At 46.7% G+C, this 21,345-nt stretch overlaps 1 protein-coding gene across 17 annotated transcripts in view, besides 1 other annotated feature; it reads left to right on the top strand.

Moving 5' to 3' along the window:
• ADCY5 (adenylate cyclase 5) overlaps positions 1-21,345 on the top strand; it is a 166,795-nt gene that overhangs the window by 77,783 nt on the left and 67,667 nt on the right. For 12 of the 17 annotated variants that reach the window (NM_183357.3, NM_001378259.1, XM_011512359.3 and 9 more), the window contains exon 2: positions 18,727-18,876. In NM_183357.3, the coding sequence (NP_899200.1) occupies positions 18,727-18,876 (150 nt within the window). Of the gene's footprint in view, positions 1-3,247; positions 3,409-16,164; positions 16,382-18,726; positions 18,877-21,345 lie in introns of those variants that run through there. The other 5 variants (XM_047447362.1, XM_006713483.2, XM_047447363.1 and 2 more) reach the window with 4 other exon arrangements.
• Positions 19,305-20,283: an enhancer, noted in NCBI's record as "H3K4me1 hESC enhancer chr3:123069872-123070850 (GRCh37/hg19 assembly coordinates)". NCBI's record gives its function as "activates a minimal SCP1, AML or CMV promoter by ChIP-STARR-seq in primed H9 embryonic stem cells {active_cell/tissue: H9 hESC(primed)}" and the evidence as "EXISTENCE:reporter gene assay evidence [ECO:0000049][PMID:30033119]".

Genomic DNA, 21,345 nt, shown 5'->3' with positions numbered 1-21,345 from the left:
GAAGTAGATAGTATCATCCCTATTTTGTAGGAGAAGATTCTGAGGTTTACTAAGGTTAAGTTACTCAGTCACCACCACACAGGGGAAAAAGGATGTGAACTTGGAGCTTTGATACCAGGTCCTAACCAGATCCCACGTTTTCCCCACAGCATGCTTCGTCTTCTTGAGATACTGCAGAGCTCACTCCTTCTTTCCTCTGGGCCGCTGTTTGTTACCGTGCAGAGTCTGGCCACTGTGCTTCCTTCCGTCTTGAGAATCAGCCCCTCTGTCTGCTTTGTCTCTGCTCTGGTTTCTGGGCTTAGTCCCAGGTCTTGTCAGGAGCACTGCTCAGATGCCTTCAACCATTCTTGGAGTGGCCTTAGTGTTTTCACACCTCCAGCCTCATCCTGCCTTCCCTTGGCTTTGTGTGCCCTGTGTGTTGTGATTTCTCCCTTCTGCCCCAGAGCACGTGGTGGGAAGGGAGGAGGAGGAAGTGGGGGAGGAACGGAGAGGGCAAAGGGGAGGGAGGGATGGGATAGGGGCTTGCCATCTTGATACTCAGACCTAGAAACCTCTGCTGTTTGCAGGTGTATTGGGGTCAAGGCTAAGCTGCCGTAACAAAGAGATACCAAAATACAGTGGCCTTAAGAAGATGGGAATTTATTTCTCTTGTGTCATAGTCTCAAAGTGATGGGGTCCAGGTTGGTAGGATGATTCAGTTCCATGGGGTTGCTCCACCACTTCTAAGGACATTATCCTCATTCATATGGTCAAAGCTGGGTTTGGAGCCTATCTATGTTGTAGCCCAGAAGAACGTGTTTGATAATGGGATGGGAGGTGACATGGGAGCTGCATGTAGCACTTCCATTCATACCCCACTGGCATAGTCATGACCACACCTTGCTGCAAGAGGGGCTGAGAAATGCTGTCTGTGGCTGGGCAGCCATGTGCCCAGTGACTGTGTATTGCCTGGGAAGAACAGGGCAAGGAATTTAGTTGGACAACTTACAGTCTCTGCCACAGCCTTTTAAAAATTATTATTTTTAAATAAAACGGTTAATCTTAATTATTCTAAAGGGGGCGGTGGTGTGATAATCTATAGTCCATCACTTGGACTTCAAACTGAGAATATATTTCCAGGGGCCTAGAGAGTATGCAGGGCAGGTGAGTCTGCAAATGAACATTTGCCACTCCTCCCACTGGCTGTTTTTATAGTCTTCTATCATAATGGTTGAGTTTCATGGCTCACCCTTTGGCATTAGGTCATGCCTCCATTGGCCCTGGGAGAGAAGACTTAACACTGTTACTCCTCATGCCCCAAGAATTAAGGCAGTCAGTGCTTCCCGTGGCCGTGGTGCCAATTCTGGTCACCCTTCCTACCCCCTTGTTAGCAGCACAGCCAGGAGAGAGTGGAGACCAGGGCAGAATCTCCTGGTTTCTTTCTGGGAGACTGAATCACATCACAGATAAGACTCCCCAGAGTCCTCAGGATGTCAGTGCTCTTGGGAAGCAGCTGAGAGCTGTTTGGTCACATTCTCCCATTTTACATAGAAAGAAACCTCATAGGACCCAGAGAGCAGAGGAGTTTGTTGAGCTGGCCCAGCCTGTGAGGAGAAGGGCTGCACTGCAGCAATCCAGGCCTCTTGCTGTTCACCAGGCCTTTCCAAGAGACTCGTTTGCACATTAGCTCATTTCTCCTATAGACTCAATCTCTTCTGGGGATTTCCTAGTGATATGCTCAAGGTCAGCCAGCAAATAAGGGACTCTCCAATACTTCAGGCCAGCTCTCCCAGTTCCCAGACACTCACAGGGACACACAGACTTGTTTCATGTCTCATCTCCCTGATAGAAACCATCTCCAAATGCTTAGTGGCCATGGCAGTTAGTACCACACTCATCTTTCATTTAATTCTGATGTGGGCCTGGGCATTCCTGCAGGTAAGGATTGTCTTAGTTCATTTTCTGTTGCTGTAACTGAACACCACAGGCTGGGTAACTTATAAAGAATAGAGGTTTATTTAGCTCATGGTTCTGCAGACTGGGAAGTCCAAGAGCATGGTGACAGCACCTAGCGAGGGCCTTCTTGTTCATCATGATGTGGTGGGTGGCATCACATGGCGAAACAGAGCATATGTGTGCACGTTAGCTCAGGTCTCTTCTCCTCTTCTTATAAAGCCACCAGTTTCATCATGGGGGCCCCACCCTGATGACTTTAATCCTTATTACTTTCCAGAGGCCCCACCTCCAATTGACCTGTGAATTTGAGGATTAAGTTCCCAACACATTAAATTTCGGGGTACATTCAAAACCATAGCAGAGACCCTGTAGCCCATCTCCCACCTTGTGTTTGATGCTCACCATCAGAGGCAACTGGGGGTCTGGGACTGTCTTCTCTTGTGAGTTGGAATATTCAAGGCCTTAAAGGTACCCTGCAGCCTTCAATTTTCTTTTCATCCATGTATTCATTTAACAAGAATTTATTGTGGCCTGCTATGTGTTAGCCTCTGTCCTGGATAATAGGGACACAACAGTGAGCAGAGGAGGCCTGGCTCCTATGTACCTTTTTTTTTTTTTTTGGAGACACAGTCTTGCTCTGTCACCCACGCTGGAGTGCAGTGGCACCATCTAAACTCACTGCAACCTCTGCCTTATGGGTTCAAGCAATCCTCCCACCTCAGACTCTCGAGTAGCTGGAACTACAGGCATGTGCCATCATGTCCAGCTAATTTTTTTTGAGACAGTCTCGATCTGTCGCCCAGCCTGGAGTGCAGTGGTGCCATCTTGGCTCACTGCAAGTTCAGCCTCCTGGGTTCAAGCAATTCTCCTGGCTTAGCCTCCCAAGTAGCTGGGATTACAGGTGCGCACCGCCATGCCCAGCTAATTTTTTGTATTTTGAGTAGAGACAGCGTTTCGCCATGTTGGCCAGGCTGGTCTCAAACTCCTGACCTCAAGTGACCCACCCGTCTTGGCCTCCCAAAGTGCTGGGATTACAGGCGTGAGCCACCATGCCTGGCCTCCCATCTACTTCTCAGCCCTCCCATCTACTTCTCAGCCCTCCAGATCTCTAATGGCATTGTTAGTCCCAGCCTGTGTTGGTTTACACCTGTACCGTGTTAGCATTGGTGTCTTATTCGCAGGCGTCATTAGCTCCATTATAGAGATGAGCGCATTCAGATTCCTGTAGGTTGCATGACTGGCTCCGAGTCACAAGACTGGCCCCTGGGGCTCCTGACTCCCAGCATAGCACTCCTCTCACTGAATCTTCCTGCCTCTCTCCCCCAGGCAATCTCTGGGGCCCCTGGATCCCTGCTGAGGTGCCCATGGTCCCCTCCATCCCCACAGGGCAGCCTGTGTAGTGCTGGGTAGGGCCCAGGCCTGTCCCACGGAAGACATGGCCCCATCTAGGTTCCGCACTCAGTTGGAGGTAAGGTAAGCACTTGGTGGCAGTTTCATTTTCTCTTTGGTGTTTTTTTTTTTCTTCTGGATTCTGCTGACCTAAAATGAGCCCCAGAGGTGAGGAATGGAAAGAGGGAGGAGATGTGGGCATGAGTGGATCAGGCTAGGGGATGGGGGAAGGCACGAGGGAAGCTGCACTTCACCTGTGTAGGGTGGGAACCAGAACTCCGAGTTCAGGTGGGCTCCTTCTTCCCGCCCCTGAATCTGACTCCAGCCTTTCGTCAGCCCCCTCCCTCCACCTACACGGCTGGCACCACCCTCAGCTGTCACCACTACTCACAGGAAACAATGAAGGTTTGCCTGATATTCCGGGAGAGGAGGAGGAAGCTGAGGGTGGGAGAGCTTGGGGGAGTGGGGATAATTATTCTCCAAGATGAGATTTTTGGAAGAGAGCAACTTGATTGCACTTGGAGGATAAATAAATTTCTAGCCCACAAAACCTCTTGCCAGGCCTCAAAGCAAACGTCTCCTTATCCCAGAGGTCAGAGAACTGCAGGAGAAGCAGTTTGTGGGTGGGTGAAGCATCATCAGCTTCCCTGGAAAACCTTTGCAAGGTACTCCCGCCATGCCAGCCTCTCTTTGTCCTCCTGCCCCAACTCATGTCCTTGGTTTGTATGGGAATGTGTCTGCCTTTCTCTGCTGCTTTGTATGTGTGATTCCCACGCCTGGTCCGGGGATGAGGTGGGGGCCGGTGCCTGGCATAGATTCTGAAGGACTCCGGCTTCCTCTGGGATTCCCCATGGATCTAGCACGGTTGGATGGGGGACTTTTGTACGACTTCCAGGTATGACAGGCCTTCTTAAAGCTGTAGCTTATATGCTGCAATGCTGAGCATTCCGTTGCATTGCAGGAGAATGGAAGGCAGAAGATTTGAAATCAGGGATTTCTCTGAAAGTCTTTCTAAGTAGCATCTCCATTTAGAGAGGAATGCAAATTGTCCCTGCTTGAGCAGCCAGAGGCCCAGGCTGTGGCCACTCCATGGACTGTCCCAGGTGGCAAAGACCTTGGCCATCACCCACTGCCTCTCACTTTTATGGATGAGGAAGCTGAAGTTCCCACAGGAAAGGTGACTTGCCCAGAGCCACATGTTTGTTGTTTGCAGATCCAGGCTGAGAACTCACACCTAAGTTCCCAGGCCTTTCTCCACACTGTGCTGCCTCTAGATGTTCATTCATTGCTCTTGAGGATGCCCTCCTCCCCATGGTTTTAAATTCGTATATTCTCCCCAAGCCCCAAGTTTCGTGGTGTGTAAGATAAGTGAATTTTCAGTCTGATACCCTTCTCTAGACTGTCCTAGATACCTCAGTCGTCATACCTGAGCCCCTGTCATATACCTCCATATCCCTTGGGCCTCACCTCCAGCCCCCCTTCCCTTTTCTGTCACCACATCTCATGTTTCTGAAAGCCACAGAGAGTGGCTGTGCTGGGTGTACCATCTGAAATCGGCCCTGAGCTTGGCAGATGAATCTGAGCCTTTGGGAATGACCCCCTCAGGGGGAAGTAAGGAGGCAGATCACTCTGTGGGCCTAAGGTGGGCCACCAATGGCTCAGCAGTTTGATATTCTGCAAGTAACCTGGGATCTGTCCCTCATCCACTATGCTCCAGGTCCCTCCTGTCCTGCCTCCCCTTTGTACAACAGCAGTGCTGTCCAACAGAAATATATTGAGAGTCACATATATCCTTCCAGCTATTCCAGTGGGCCAAAAAGTAAAAACAAAGAAAACAAACTAACCCATGGGTGAAAGTAATTTAAATAATATATTTTATTTACCCAATATATCCAGAATATCATTTTATCATGTAATGAATAAAAAATAATTTCAGACTCCAGTGCGTTTTGTATTTACAACACCCCTCACTTCAGACCAGCCACACTGCAAATGTTCCTAGCCATGTGTGGCTAGTGGCTCCCCTGGTGGACAGCTCAGTTCTGCAGGGAAGTACGGTGCTGTCCTCATTTACCTCTTTGGCCCCTCCCCTCCCTCTGCCTCTGGATAAATCAAGTTTCCTAACCTCCATGCTGTATTCATTCAAGCTGTGACCCACTCGCTGTCCCTTCACTGCCAAACATCCAGAGTCACCTTCATTCACCGTCCCCTCATGACCTCATGACTTAACCCCCTTACAGCTCAACTCCTCCTCTACCCAGTCTGCTTATCCATCTCTTTTCAGCCTCTTCCACAACACCTGATTCTGTTGACTTTCCTACTCTTGCATTTAGCTTTTGTGACACTTTATTACTCATAACCCACTCACTCCAAAGCCAGCTCCTCCCGGACTTCCCCTAAGTGGATTAGGAACCGAAGCTCTCTTCTTCCCATAGATACATCACCCAGGCTCAAATACTCCTTGCAGATGCCTTGCTTGGGGGCCACTCTGCTTTCCCTTCATAGAGCTCCAGCCTCTCCCAGGCCCTTGGTGCTTCTCGTCTGTGCTATTTCCACAGCCCTCTTTTAGTCTCTCTACTTCTAGCATCTTCCTCTTCACTGCCTCCTTTCCAGCTGTCAATTTAATCTACCCAAAGTTCTGCTGTGATCACATTTCCCTTTTGAAAGCTGGCAGCATTAGAAGTTGTAATAACAGGGGAACATGCTTACGTTACAATATTAAATGAAGGCTGGGCGCGGTGGCTTACGCCTGTAATCCCAGCATTTTGGGAGGCCAAGGTGAGTGGATCACCTGAGGTCAGGAGTTCAAGACCTCCTGGCCAGCATGGTGAAACCCTATCTCTACTAAATATACAAACCTCGTCTCTACTAAAAATACAAAAATTAGCTAGGCATGGTGGTGGGCGCCTGTAATCCCAGCTACTCGGGAGGCTGACACAGGAGAATTACTTGAACCCAGGAGGCAGAGTTTGCAGTGAGCCGAGATCTCGCCACTGCATTCCAGCCTGGGCAACAGAGCAAGACTCCGTCTCAAAAAAAAAAAAAAAAGTGAAAAACACAGGATACCAAATTATGCAAACAGTAAGAGCACAGTTTTATGAAAGCAAAAACAAAAAGCCGTAAGTAGATTTTTTTAAAAAGGAAGTAAAAGAAATAAATGGAAACGTTAATACTGGTTGTCTTTGGGTGATAATTGATTTTTTTTTCCTTTTCTATGATTTCGAAGTGTTCCGTAATGAATGTACATTTTATAATTTGGGCAATGAATATACTTTTTATTTTTGTAAATGCGGCCATCAAGAGGTTTTAATGCCTCCTAGATTATGTGCTGGCTCCTTACTCTGCCATAGAAAAAATTCTTTCATGATCTGGCCATGAACCCCCTTGTCTCATCTCTGGCCAGTCCTCTCCTTGCTTCTGGTCAGCAGTGAGTACCTGGTGTTCCCAGTGTAGCCCTGGACTCTTCTTCCTCTGCCCCATCCATATTGATGCTGTTTGCATCATCTGTATGCCCCTCCACTGGGATTCCCGCTGGCCAGGTCCTGCCCATCTGCAGACACTTCTCCAGGAAGGGTCCTAGTCCCCACTGCCCAGACATGATTCCTTTTTCTATTTTGAATCTCTTTTCCCATTTGACTTATTCTCTCTGGTTTTACAGGCATTTTCATTCTCATTTTATCTCTTCTGTCAGAAGAGAAGATTCTTCAGCCAGCCGTGCTCATAGCACAAGCATGTACTTTTTTCTTTCTTTATGTAAGTTTATCAGTATTTCTTTTTAGAGTAATATGTACAATAGAAACATTGGAGAGTATTCATTGGTATAAAGAAAAAAAGTAAAAAAGCACTTATCATCCCACCACCTAGAGATACTCCATCACTGTTAACATTTTGAAATGTATACATGTGAAAAATTGGGATCATGAGTTATATGCAATTTCATATTCTTTTTCTCCCCCACTTGACATTGTATTTTGGAAAATTTCCCACAATGTTGAATGTTATTTAAATAAGACATTTTAAAGGCTTTGAGATATTCCAGGGTATTGAGCACCAAAGTTTTATTTTATTTCATCTTAATGCAGAGTCTTGCTCTGTCACCCAGGCTGGAGTTCAGTGGTGTAATCGTGGCTCACCGCAGCCTTGACTTCCTAGGTTCAAGTGATCTTCCCACCTCAGCCTCCCAAGTAGCTGGGACTACAGGTGCATGCCACCATGCCCGGCTAATTTTTTATTTCTTTGTAGAGATGGGGTCTCACTATGTTGCCCAAGTTGGTCTCAAATTCCTGGCCTCAAGTGATCCTCCTTCCTTGGCCTCCCAAAGTGATGGGATTACAGGTGTGAGCCACTGCGCCTGGTGACAGCACCATAATTTATTTAACTGTTCTCTAGTTTTTCAACATTTAGCTGCTCCTAATTGTTAAATTTTATAATCATCCTCGGACATAAAGCCCTGTTCAAGCTACTGAGGTTTCTGTGGCATAGATTCCTGGGAGGGGACTAACTTATTGGGTCAGAGGGTATGAATATTTGGAAAGCTCTTCATACATATTGCCAAATTGGTTTCCAGAAAGGTTATGCCGATTTGCATTCCCACTGATAATGTAGGAGGGTGCCTATTCCATTGCATTCTTGCCAACATTATTACTATGAAAAGAAAGCTTTGCTATTTAAATAGGTAAAATACTGCTTTTATTGTTATTTCTTTGCTTACTAGTAAGGGTTAACATCTTTTGATATCACACATTTATAAGTCATTTGTATTTTTACTTTGAATAGCTTATTCATCCACATTACCCATTTTTTTTTTTGTTCTTCAATTCCTTTTTTTTTTTTTTTTTTTCAAGAAGGAATCTTGCTCTGTTGCCTGGGCTGGAGTGCAATGATGTGATCTCGGCTCACTGCAACATTTGCCTCCTGGGTTCAAGTGATTCTCCTGCCTCAGCCTCCCGAGTAGCTGGGATTACAGGTGCGCACCACCACGCCCAGCTAATTTTTTGTGTTTTTAGTAGAGACAGGGTTTCACCATGTTGGCCAGGCTGGTCTCGAACTCCTGATCTCATGATCCACCCACCTCAGCCTCCCAAAGTGCTGGGATTATAGGCATGAGACACTGTGCCCAGCCTTTTTTTGTTGTTAAATTCTACCCATTTATTGTTAATTGGCAAAATACTTTGTATATTAAGGGTATTTCCTCTGGCATATTCTTTGCGAACTGAATGTTTATGAAATTAACTTGAGGATAGAGGATAGAGGTTGTGGAGCCTGCAGAGTTTATGTCCTCCCAACCACTTCCGTGCCTTGTCTGACTTCCCCACCAGATCTGGAGTCCTAGAGGGCAAGGTGGCCAGCAGCATGGTTTCCCAGTGCTAGGCACTCAATCAGTGTTTGTCTTGTTCATGTAAGCACTATTACATGAAAGCTGTTATTTCTCTCCGGTTGCGCAAAGCGTGGGGTCTTCCTAGGAATAAGTAATTAAAAATAACAAAACATAAAATGTACAATGTGGCCACTTCTCTCTAAAGGCACAGCTGTGCAAGTTATAGAAGACATTCTCTCCCTTGTAATTGTTGCTATTTGCTTTACAAATTTAAGGGCATTAAAACCACAATAAGATACCATCCTCACTCCTGCTAGGATGACTATCATGAAAAAGTTAACAAAATAAGTGTTGGCAGGGCATGTGGAGACATTGGAACCCCCATGCAATGTTGGCGGGGATGTAAGGTGGTGCAGGTGATTGAAAGCAGTTGGGCAGTTCCTCAATAACATAGAGTTGCCGTGTGACCCAGCAATTCTGCTCCTAGATATATCCCCAAGAAAACAGAATATATCCATGTAAAAACTTGTACATGAATGTTCATCACAGCAACATTATTCATAATAGCCAAAAGGTGGACACAATTCAAATGTCTATACCTGATGGTGGATAAACAATATATGGTAGATCTGTGCTGTGGAATATTATTTAGCTGTAAAAGGAACAAAATACTGATACAGGTAGAGAGCATCCTGAATCTGAAAATTTGAAATCCAAAATGCTCTAAAATCTGAAACATTTTGAGCTCTGACATGATGCCACAGTGGAAAATTCCACACATAAGTACTTAACACAAACTTTGTTTCATGCACAAAATTATTTTAAAATGTTGTATAAAATTACCTTCAGGCTACATGTAGAAGATGTTTATGAAACATAAATGAATTTCATGTTTAGACTTGTGTACCATCTCCAAGATACCTCATTATGTATATGCAAGTATTCCAGAATCTGAAAAAATCCAAAATATGAAACACTTCTGGTCCCTAGCATTTCGGATAAAGGATTCTCAGCCTGTGTGTGCTACCATGTGGACGAACCTTGAAAATATGCTAAGCGAGAAAAGCCAGACACAGAGGCCACCTATTGTTCACTTCCATTTATATGAAGTGTCCAGAATAGGCAAATCCACAGGTGTGGAAAGTAGGTTCGTGGTTGCCAGGAGCTGGGGGAGGGTGGGGTGGGGAATAGGCAGTGACTAATGGGCATGGGGTTTCTTTTGGGGATGTTGAAAATGTCCTGGGGTTGGTAGTGAAGATTGCACAGCCTTGTGAATACACTAAACGCTACTGAATTTTGCATTTTAAAGGAGTGCATTTTATGGTATGTGAATTGTATCTCCATAAAAAATAACGAAGGGAAGCTACACTAGAGTAAGACTTGGCTTTGTGAGACAGGTGGGCCTTTCTCACCCATAGCCATGAGTTCCCTGGAGAGTGTGCCCCCGGAGGACATTCATTGAATCTGGCAGTGGCTGGGAGTAGGTCCCTAATCAGCAGTACTTTATGTGACCAGGATCTATGAAGAAGGCCTAGGGCGCCTGGGACAAGGGTGAGAGAAAGTTGAGTGTCTCTTTATTAAATAGAATAAAACAAAACTAGATCTAAATTAGGTTGGGATAAATAACAGCTTAGTACAGTAGAGTAGGATGAGCTGTGAGCTCAGAAAGAGATGGCTGTGATCCCAGTTCTGCAGCTTCCTTTCTGTGTAATCCAAGGCAGGACCCCTGCCTCGGGCCTCAGTTTCCTCATTGGCAGAGGGGGATGATGCTGCCTAACTTGCTTATCTTACAGGGATTTGATGAGGGTGAGATGAACTACATGTGAGAAAGTGTTTTGCAGACTATATATTGCTGTACCCAATCATTCCTAGATATTTGTCTTTCTTCACATTCTAGTCTATTTTGTTTTTCCTTAAAATGTATTAAGCAGATGCTAATTGTTGATTTGTCAATATTTCATGCTCTAATTTTAGTAACATTAAAGTTGTATTAAATAAACATTACACTTTAGAATCGTATTATAGGTTGGTTTTTTTCAGACACAGTGAGTAGCTGGGGTAGGTGTGAGACAGGGAATGTGGTCTATGATAAGACTTAGAGGGCATTAATGCCAGCACAGGAGTTTGGACTTTATCTTACTGGTAATGGAGAGTCCTGGCAGGTTTTTGGGTAGGAAGATGTCATGATGTTAAGGGTCTCATTTGAGGATCTCTGGCATAGAGAATGGTGTTTACAGAGGCTGGAGGCCCCTCAGGAGGCATCCTAAGCTCTTGATGGGGAGTTCCAGAGCAAGGGAGAGTGACAATCCCAGAGCAGCTAGATCCTAGCTGGAAAGGAGAGGAGAAAGGCGATGTTGTCTGGGCAGGACCCTAGTGAGCAGAGAGATGGGCTTGATGGTGTTTGTCCAGAGCCAGTGGTATAGAGCTGGCCACCTCCTTGAAAGAAGACCTTGTCACAAAAGCCCCCAAGCAGAGATAATGCAGCTTTGATTACCAGAAACACATAACAGCAATCTTGATTCTTTGTGAAAGGAAAAATTTTAGAGGTGTCACTCATTATGATTAGAAAAACAGTTAAAAATATGTAATAGTTAAAAAAAAAAAACATTAAGCACCTAATTGAGCATGGTGCAGTGTACAAGGAGCCATGCCGACATGCCTTCTAAGAGTATATAATTTAAGATTATTCTTCCTTGAATTATTTTATATTATATCTTAATGGGGTTCCACTGAGGTTCCCTGAGCTTCCCACCACCACTGTGTAAGACAAATGAAATCCAGTGTAGGAGGAAGGAAGTCTTGCCAGGATGTCAGCTTCTTTTATTTGGGACTCATTTCGTTGTTAGTTTTATGTGTTTGTAAACCGACAAAGGACTAGAACAGGAAGGAGTTGTGCCTGTCTTTAGGGCTGGGGCCAGGGGACACTTTGCGGGAGAGAGCCTCTCCTCCTTTTCTACTGCCCAGAGCTTGGGGAGCTGGTTCTCTGCCCCCAGGGTCCCTGAGGTGGTCCAGCCTCTTGTGGTCTTTGGATGGATTTGGAAAATCAGATCTTACCTCTTTGGCTTGCACTTCATTGGGGTGATTGCAGACTCTGATGCACACGGAAAACGCTGCAGTCTCTCTACTCTGTCCTCATAGGTGGAGGAAGATCTGGAAGAGGGAGTAGGGAAGAGTGGGCAGGAGCTTGGGGAGAGGGTTGTCACGACTGGGGGAGGGCAGGTGTGGTTTGAAAAGGACCCCTGGTAGGGTTGCCCAGTAAAATATGGGTCACTCAATTATATTTGAATTTCAGATAAATAATGAATATATATATATATATATATATATATATATATTTTAGTATAAGTAGGTCCCAAATATTGCCTGGAACCTACTTATACTAAAAGATGTACGTGTTGTTTGTCTGTAATTCAAATTTAACTGAACATCCTGCTCCCTCCCCCATCACTAACTCTGGCTCCCCGGGAAGTTCTGATTCCCACCACAGCCACCACCATTCACCTGTGAACCATATTGCAAGGGGCAAGCTGACTTACCGGGAACAGGAACCGCATAAAAGAGCAAACTGAGCAGGGGTCTTCCCCAACCCTAGTCTCCAACTCATTTCCTTCTACTCCAAAACCATGCATTTCTCATTCCCCTTTGCCTTGCACCTTTCCCAGGATTATCCAGTAGCAAGCCTGTTGCAGTGGGCCCATGGAGCCCCCTGAAAACTCAGAGAGGAGAGGCAGAAACGATCACAGTGCCTGAGGCCAGTGGCTGGGGTTTCTTTGAGTCTTCCCAAGGAGACACTGCACGAACCGAGCACTGTAACTTCCCACTCTTGGCTCAAATCAAACCTGCAGCCTGCGGGCAGCCAGAGATTGGGTTTCAGAAGTGCTGGGGTTTTAGAAGTATTAAATATTCATAGGCATCTCCCCTCGGTTTTGACTCTGAGAATAGAATTCCAAACATTCCCCCTCTAGTGGGGTCTCTCCTGGTGTGGTCCTGGGACCCCCTGGACCTTGTCCACTCGGACCCCATCCATCTGCAGGGCTTGTTTTAAACTTTTTGTTGTTGTTGTTTTGGAGTCAGAGTCTCGCTTTGTTGCCCAGGCTAGAGTGCAGTGGTATGGTCATAGCTCACTGCAGCCTCTATCTCCTGGGCTCAAGTGATCCTCCTGCCTCAGCCTCCCAAGTAGCTGGGACTACCTGGTGAATTTTTATTTGTTTTATTTTTATTTTTTGTAGATATGGGATATCACTGTGTTGTCCGGGCTGGTCTTGAATTCCTGGACTCAAGTGATATTCCCACCTTGGCCTCCCAAAGTGCTGGGATTCCAGGTGTGAGCCACTGCATCCGGCTGCTTGTTTTAAAGCAGATGCTGAGGCTACTCCAGGGCTGCAGTCTGCTGTATTGTTGGGTCTCCTTTTCACTCCACTTGGTGTACTGTGGGTATATGTCACGTGCTCCGCCATACCACCAACTCCCTACACACACACACACACACACACACACACACACACACACACGTGTTCCATGTGGTTAGATGTGTCCCGTGAGGCCAGCACAGGGAAAACCAATAAACCCTTAATTAGGCCCTGTTTACCTGCTGTTGTGAAGCCTCAAGAGTGACTGATATCTGTTATTATTTACTAATTAGGTCCTTTACACAAGGACAGGGTTTATACTTACTTTTACTTTGCCTGTCTTTATGGGGGTGTAAGAAGGGGCTCATTATTTGATCACTGAGTGGAGAAGAGAGCCTGGCAGCATTTGGACATACCTTCCTTGTCCCCAAGGTGTGGGATCATTTTTAAACTTCAGACTCCCTCTGTGTGTAAGCAGAATTCCATCAGATTTTACCGATACCTCCCCACTATTCATAAGCGGAGCATCTGCACAGGGACCTTAGCACCCTTTAAGACCTGGTGCCCAGATTCCTGCTTTTTTGGCAGATGGTGTGAGTGTGTGTGTGTAAGGCAGCTATTAATCTCTTTTTCACTTTCAGGTCCAACTTGCTGAAATCCCCCTTTCCAATAGCCTTGCTCAAGACCCCACCCTCAAACCACAGCACCCTCTTTCTGCCTGCCTGGTTTTGTGTTTAGTGAAAGAGAGATGAACACCAAGGCACCCTAAGCTTAGCAAAGCCATTTGGACGGCTATTGGGTTACCACGCATCTTTTTACCTGGATTTGCACTGTCTGTTGCCATTGGACTTCTGGCTATAGGAGGAGTCAGATTACAGCAGGAGAGACCCGGAGGATTAGTACAGAGATGCTGCAGCAGACACTTGATAATTGCTTTGGGGGTCATGCCTCCAAATAGACTCTGGCCTCTCTTTCTGGCCTCAGAAAGAGGGAAGGCCACTCTTTCTCTGTCCAGCCATCTGCTTACATTTTCTCTCTTAGTCTCCTGGATATGACTCCTGCCCTTTTTTTTTTTAAATTAAGGTATAATTTACATACAGTAAAATTCACTTTTTTAGTGCATTGTTCTGCAGGTGTAACAAATGCATACAGATGTGTAATTGCTAACACAATCAAGATACAGGACAGTCCCATCACCCCAAAAGGTTTCCTTGTGCTGCCCCTTTGTTGTCAGCCCTACCCACTGCTCCCTGGCAACCACTGATCTATGTGCAGTGCCCACAGTTTTGCCCACATCTAAATGGAATCATGGTCTGTAGGCTTTTGAGTCTGGCTTCCTTCATTTTAGCATAATATATTTGAGATGCATCCATGTTGTACATATCAGTGATTTGTTTCTTTTTATAGCTGAGTATTTATGCAAAGATTTTTGTGTGAACATAACTTTTCATTTCATTTGAAAAAAAAAATACCTAAGAGTGAGGTTGCTGGGTCATAGGGCAAGTGCATATTTAACTTGATGAGAAATTGCTGAACTGTTTTCCAAAGTAGCTGGACCATTTCTCATTTCGACCAGGAAAGTATGAGTTCAGTTGTTCTGCATTCTCACCAGTACTTGTTATTTCATTCTTTCTTCTTTTCTTTCCATTTTTAATCTAATTTAACTTCAGCCATTCTAATAGTGTGTGATAGTACTCATTGTTTTAAAAATTTGTATGATAGGTTCTGCAGTTAGGCCTCTGAACCATTGTGAGTTAATTTTGTATATTTTGTGAGGTTTGTTTTTATCATATGAATATTTAATTGTTCTAGCACCACTTTTTTTTACTCATTGCCATACAAGTGAAGATCTATCACGATTTTTTAAAAGACTCCTTTCATGTAATTGCCTTTGTACATTTGTCAAAACTAAAGGTGTGAAATATGATTTGCAAATATTTTCCCCATTCCGTGGGTTGTATTTTCACATTCTTGATGGTGCCCTTTGAAGCACAAAAAGTTTTAAAATTTTGATGAAGTTCAATTTATTTTTTTCTTTTGTTATTTATATGTTTGGTGTGATATATAAGAAATTATTGCCTAATCCAAGGTTATAAAGATTTATCCCTATGTTTTCTTCTAAGGGTTTTATATCTATAGTTCTCATATTTGGGTCTCTGATTCACTTCGAGTGAATTTTTGTGTATAGTATGAGGTAAGGAGTCCAGCTTCATTCTTTTGCATGTAGATATCCAGTTTTCCCAGATTACTTGTTGAAAAGACTGCTCTTCTTCTACTGAATTGTCTTGGTACCCTTGTCAAAAATATAAAGGCTTATTTCTAGATTCTTAAATTCTATTCCATATATCTATATTTCTACCCTTATGCTAGTACCACATTGTTTTAATTACTGTAGCTTTATAGTAAGTCTTGAAATTGAGTAGTATGAGTCTGCTAACTTGATTGGCAATCTTTTTCAAAACTATTTTGGCTATTTTCATTGCTTTGATTGTGATTGTGTTGCATCTGTGTATCAATTTGGGGAAAATTGACATCAGAACGTGGTGTTTTTCTGTACATGGTATATCTCTCCATTTATTAAAGTCTTTTAAAATTTCTTTCATCAGTGTTTCATAGCTTTCAGTGAATAGGTCTTAGATAAAGACCAATTTTAGATTTTTTGTTAGTTTTTTTTTTTTTAGATTTCTACTGAAGTATTTCATGGTTTCTGGTGCTATTTAAATGGTGCACTCAGCCCTCTGTATTCACAGGGCATTGGTTCCAGGACCCCCTGGGGATATCAGAATCCTCAGATGCTTATATAAGTCCCTTATATAAAATGTCATAGTACAGTTGGCCCTCTGTATTTGTGGGTTCTGCATCCACAGATTCAACCAGCCATGGATGGAAAATATGTACAGTTGCCATATCGGAGGGTTTTGATCCAAGGTTGGTTGAACCTACAGATGCAAAACCTGTAGATACAGAGAGCCAACTATACCTTTAAAAATTTTACTTCCAATTGGTATTTACTCATATATAAAAGTAGGTTGCTTTTTGTATATTGATCTTGTATCCTATGACTTTTCTAAACTTGCATATTAATTCTGGTAGTTTTTAAAATTTTTTGAGGTTCTTCTACATAGACAATCATGTCATCTGCAAATAGAGACAGTTTTATTTCTTCCTTTCTAATCTGTGTGTCTTTTGTTTCTTTCTCTTGTCTGATTGCATAGGCTAGGACCTCCAGTGTGATGTTGAATAGGAGTGACGAGAGGGAACAACCTGGCTTTGCTGCTGGTCTTAGAGGAAGGCATTCAGTCTTTCACCATTAAGTTTGATATAATTTAGCTGTAGGTTTGTGTATATGCTATTGATCAGATTAAGGGACTTCCCTTCCATTCCTAAGTTGGTAAGTTTAAAAATTATTAATGTATGTTGCATTTTGCCAAATGATGTTTTAGAAACTGTTGAAATGATCATATAGTTTTTAAATTTTAGTCTATTAATATGGAAAATTACGTTGGTTGCTTTTTGAAGTTGAACTAGCCTTCATTCCTGGGATTAAGCCCATTTGGTCATGTTGTATAGTATTTTCATGATGCACTAGCCTGTCTGAGGCTAGCTCCTCATCTTCTTCTTCCTCCCAGTTTCTCCTGTCTCACTCCTGTTTTTATCACTGAGAACCTTCCTCTCTTTTCACACAGATCTCCTCTAACTAGATCATACTTCAGAATTCCCTGTGGCCTACCCCTCAGCCTTCACTTCCTCATCTCTTCCTCCTTATCCTCTCCCAGTGGTTCCCAGTGACTTCCCAGAGGCCTGTTTTTGGGGTCTCACTTCATAATCACAGCATTGGTTACTACTTCAGGCCATGGTCTATTTCTTCCTGGACTTTCTTCTCCCTGGTCTTAGGGGCTCTTCCTTCTGAGTCAGCTCTGCCCTGAATGGCTCCCAGCCACACGCAGGTCTTTGTTCCCTCATGCTTTGGGCTTCTGTGGCAGCATCTGGACCCGTCTCCCATTCCTGCACTCTTGCCTCTGATGAATCTTCCAGAAGCCGTGGGCTCAAGCAGCCATTCTTTGGTTCAGCAGTCCTTTTGGGGGACACAAACATTCCATCTATAACACTCTTCAAGTAGATTGTAAGTTTCTGAAGAGCAGGGGTCTTTCCTTATGATAAATAGGTTGGCTTTTCCTATGCCATGTGTTTACATAAAATGACAGCAATGGGATGCTAGCGTAGATGGGGTTGGAGTGGAAGGATATGGGAGTTATGAGTCAGCAACAGTAGTCGTCTGAGTCAGTGGAGCTAGAAATCTGAACTTGCCCCTTCCTGGAAGGCACATCCAGGAGACACATGGGGAGCTCAGGGCATTCTTCAGCCAGGAGGGAGTGAGAGCCTGAAATAGGAAAGAGAAAGTCTTCATGGACCGGGGCACACACACCATGGGATGTCTCCAGGGAAAGATGGTACCACATTCAGCAAGGAGCAAGAGCAGGACCATCGCAAAGCTGTGGTGGGCAAAGCCTTCTGGTAGAAAGCAGACCTGAGTCGAGAGCCAAGAGGCCCCTAGAGAAGAGCGTAGGAGTCATCTGCCAGGGCCACTGCCAGGCAGCCGACGTCCCACAGCAAGACTCTTTGGGATCCAAATGGCCAAGTGCCCTCCTTACCCCAGGACTTGGGACTAACACAGGCCTCCTGAGGGCTAAGGGAGCCACAGCAGAAGGTGCAGCGGCTGACCCAGGCTCCTTTTCTGGAGCTGGGACTAAGGAAGTTTTTGGTGGGAGTAACTGAGGTGCAGCTCAAAGCCCCCACAGCCTAGGAGCCGGAGCATCATTGTGTGGCTCTGTTCCATGTGGCCCCAAGTCAAGGACAACAACAGGACCCATGTACTCAGATATCCAGGAGCTCTACCTGCCAAGAGAAATTTTGCCTACACATCACTCACTGGGATCTGAATGTACCGTATAACCTTGCTTTCCGTGTCGTGTTGTATTGTGTTTCATTTTCCCTTAGCTTTTCAGTAAGTATTCCCTTCAAAAGAATTCCAGCTTTGACTTTGCTGACCTGGAGGGTCAGTGGTGTTTTTCCACACACACATCTCAGTTGTTGGGGAGCGGGGGAAATGGCAGGCACTGGCCGGCTGGTGCAGTGGTTGTCAGAGAGCTGGCAACAGAAAGACCAGAAGCCTAGGGAGGAAGGAGTGGAGACCCACTGTGGCCATGGACCCCGACTGGCCAGCCTTGCCCTTTTGTTCCCTAGAGCATTTAGCACAGTGCTGGGGACCTGAGGGGATTCGAGAATCCTTGATTCATCGGAGCTGATCTCTGGGGGAGGGTGGCCCCTTGTCCTGTACTGGACTCTATCACACTTTCAAAAGTGAAATCCCAGCACCCTTGTGGCACCTTCCTTGCAGTGGCCCTCCTGCCCCGAGCACACACACAGCTCTGTCACAGTACATGTAGCCTTTTAATTTCTGGTACTATAGGCATGTTTAGTATGATTATTAGGTGATTCAGTGTCTTTAGAGGACATATCCCATGACAAGCCAGCCAAACTTCTGGCTTTGAGGACATCAGAGAGCCCGATCGATTATGCTCGGCTGCTCACAGTGGTTGGCCGCGTGTGGGGTGCCCTCAGCATTTGTTTGCTAGCGCCAGGTGTGAGTTTGCTGAGACAGGGGCTGAGGGCTTCATGCTTTGGGGCCAGGAAGGTCAGGATCTGAGCTAGGTGTGCTCCTCTCTCCCTCTGCAGCTTGTCTCCAATGTTCTCATTTTCTCCTGCACCAACATCGTGGGTGTCTGCACCCACTATCCGGCTGAGGTCTCCCAGAGACAGGCTTTCCAGGAGACCCGAGAGTGCATCCAGGCGCGGCTCCACTCGCAGCGGGAGAACCAGCAGCAGGTGAGTGAGGCCCCTGCCCTTGCACAGTGGGACGGAGTCGAGCCCTGAGATGTACCTCAGCTGAGTGCCTGGCCTAGGGCGGGCAGTGCTTATTACGGCTGCCAGCCCCACTCCCCGGGAGGGGACCAACCCATGGGGAATGTTTCCCCTGGAGAGAGTCCAGCATTCCAGGCCCTGTGGGAAGTGAGTTCTACCCAGCCCGTGCCCAAGGCCTGGTGCCCATAGCCATGTGGCGTCCCTGTGGTTTGCAAACAAGCCCAGCAGCCAGAGGGTCCCTCTCTCCCTCCCCACACGGCCCCCACTCCTTCCCCACACTGCTCACCACTCCCTCCCCGCACTGCACCCCGCCTTGAGTTGGAGTAAGGAGAGAAGCCAGCATTCCTAACTGGGATTAAGGTGCTCCGCAGGGGAGGGATGAGGGAGAAGAAGAGGAGACAGGAGCTGTCATCCCCTGAAACACCCCACACCTGGCTATTCCCCTCTCTGAGTTCTGGGGTTTGGTGGTTCTGAGAAGGAAGAAAGTCCCATCTCTTCCTAGACCGACTGCCTGGGTCAGGGAAGGCAGGCCATTCCCAGGGCCACAGATTCCTGGTGCAAAGAGGGACCTGCCCTGTGTGCACCACTCTTGGGTGGGGTGGGAGCAGGGCTGAGGGCCACATCAGGGGTCCAGCCCTTCCCTCTTTGGGGGCGGAGTCCTGTTTGGATTCCAGGTCTGGATCCCCACTGTCTCCTCTTCTGTGTGTGAATCAGGTAGGGGTCTGGTGACTCTGAGTCATGGCTCACACATGGGAGGCCTGGGGGGCTGTGTGGCCTAGGGGAGAGAGTGGGCGGGTCTGCAGGGTGATGGGGCTCCCACTAGCTCCTGTGAGATAAGGTTGCTCCAAACCGGAGGCCTTCCCTCCCATCTTAGATTACCATCTCCCCAGACCCTCAGCAAGCATCAGTGGAGCTCATCTAAGTGCCGCATGCTGCGTCAGCCCCCATGGCTGATATGAACATGGAAGGTCTGCCTTTGAGTGTGGGGGACACGGAGAAATGGCCAAGATGGCAGTGGTCACTCATGGCTCCAGGCTGGCACGGAGCACATGCTGTGGCCACCCTGAGTGCAGAATGTTTTAGTACTGTGGGGGGTGTCCTTGATGCCATCTGGTTGCATCCTAAGTGAGTCACAGTGATATGGCTGGTGACATCCAGACAGCCAAACGAGGGGGCAAAGCTCTGTAGTACCTCTCCAGGCCCCCCAGTCCCCACCTGTCTCCACTTCCCTTCCAGCGCTGCCTCGGTGGTCGCCATGTCTTGTCAGGTCTCCACTTAAGCTGACCAGTCCCCAGCCTGGCTCTCCCCATTCACTCTGGCCCTGTCTGAGCTTCTGGTCCAGCATCTTGAAGGAAGCCCTTGCTGGCAGGGTCCCTGGGGTCCTCCCACTGCCCTTTATTAACACATGTACCTCGCCTCTGGCACACTGCACCACACTCACCCCCAGGCCTCAGCATTCCTGAAAAGCCCCTCATCATCCCCATTCCAGGCCTCAGCATCTCTCACCTGAGATCAGGATACCTCCTCCTTCCATTTTTGGGGCTGTGCCTCTCACTTCTCCAGGGGAATTACCATTTTACAGCTTGCCACAGTTTCCTTGCTCTGCCCGGGCCAGTCTGGGCATTCCACCAAATCCACAGGGATTTAGGGGAGAAAATATTTTTGCCATTCCATATTCGGAGCCAATGTGCTGAGGAGGGGAAGCTTTCTGCAGACAGGTGCTTCTCAACCGGCCATAGCCAGCAAGGCGTGCAGAAAGAGCTGCTGGGGCTCCCTGGGGGAAGCTTCTAGGTGCCCTGTGATGAGTGGGCTCAGAATTGTTCCTCAGCGGCCCCCTGCCCACCCCTCCTGGCCCTCAGCCCCAGAGGTGGTTGTAAATGTAGGAGGGCCTCTCATGAAGCCAAACGGTTTGTAGCACGGTCTCTCCCAGTCATCCCACACTGTCTTTTAATTCCTATTTCTATCACCAGTAACTATTTACTGAGAGTTGGCCTTTGGTGGTCGTGTTTCCTGCTGCTTGGGGAGACCAGACCGACCCACAGAGAACACCGCCCTTCACTAATGTGTCAGCTTCTCGAGCATAAGGCTCTGGGCTGTGGCACTGGACAAGACGCAGCTCCGGTCCCCAAGGTGGCCTCTCCTCACACACAGTTAACAGGCCACTGATGTGGCGTTTCAGCGAGTGGGGGAGGGGATGCCAGCAGCCAGAATTGGACCTCCTCCTGGGAAAAGGGAGACCCTGAAGGAGGGTGAGGAGCAGCGGAGGAGGAGGGTGATGCCAGCTGAGGAGCTTGTGCACAACAGCAAGAAAGACCCCAGGAAGTGTGGGGGCCTCTGTGTTCTGCTCTATCTGGAGTGGAGTGTGGATTTCATTTCAGTGCTGCTGGGACAGCAGGTGGAAGGGCAGGGAGGAGTCAGGTCACGGAAACCTCC

Source organism: Homo sapiens, chromosome 3 (genome assembly GCF_000001405.40).
Source record: "Homo sapiens chromosome 3, GRCh38.p14 Primary Assembly".
NCBI classification, from domain to species: domain Eukaryota; kingdom Metazoa; phylum Chordata; class Mammalia; order Primates; family Hominidae; genus Homo; species Homo sapiens.
The sequence above is the reverse complement of the archived record's forward strand: the minus strand, read 5'-3'. Positions and strand labels throughout refer to the sequence as shown.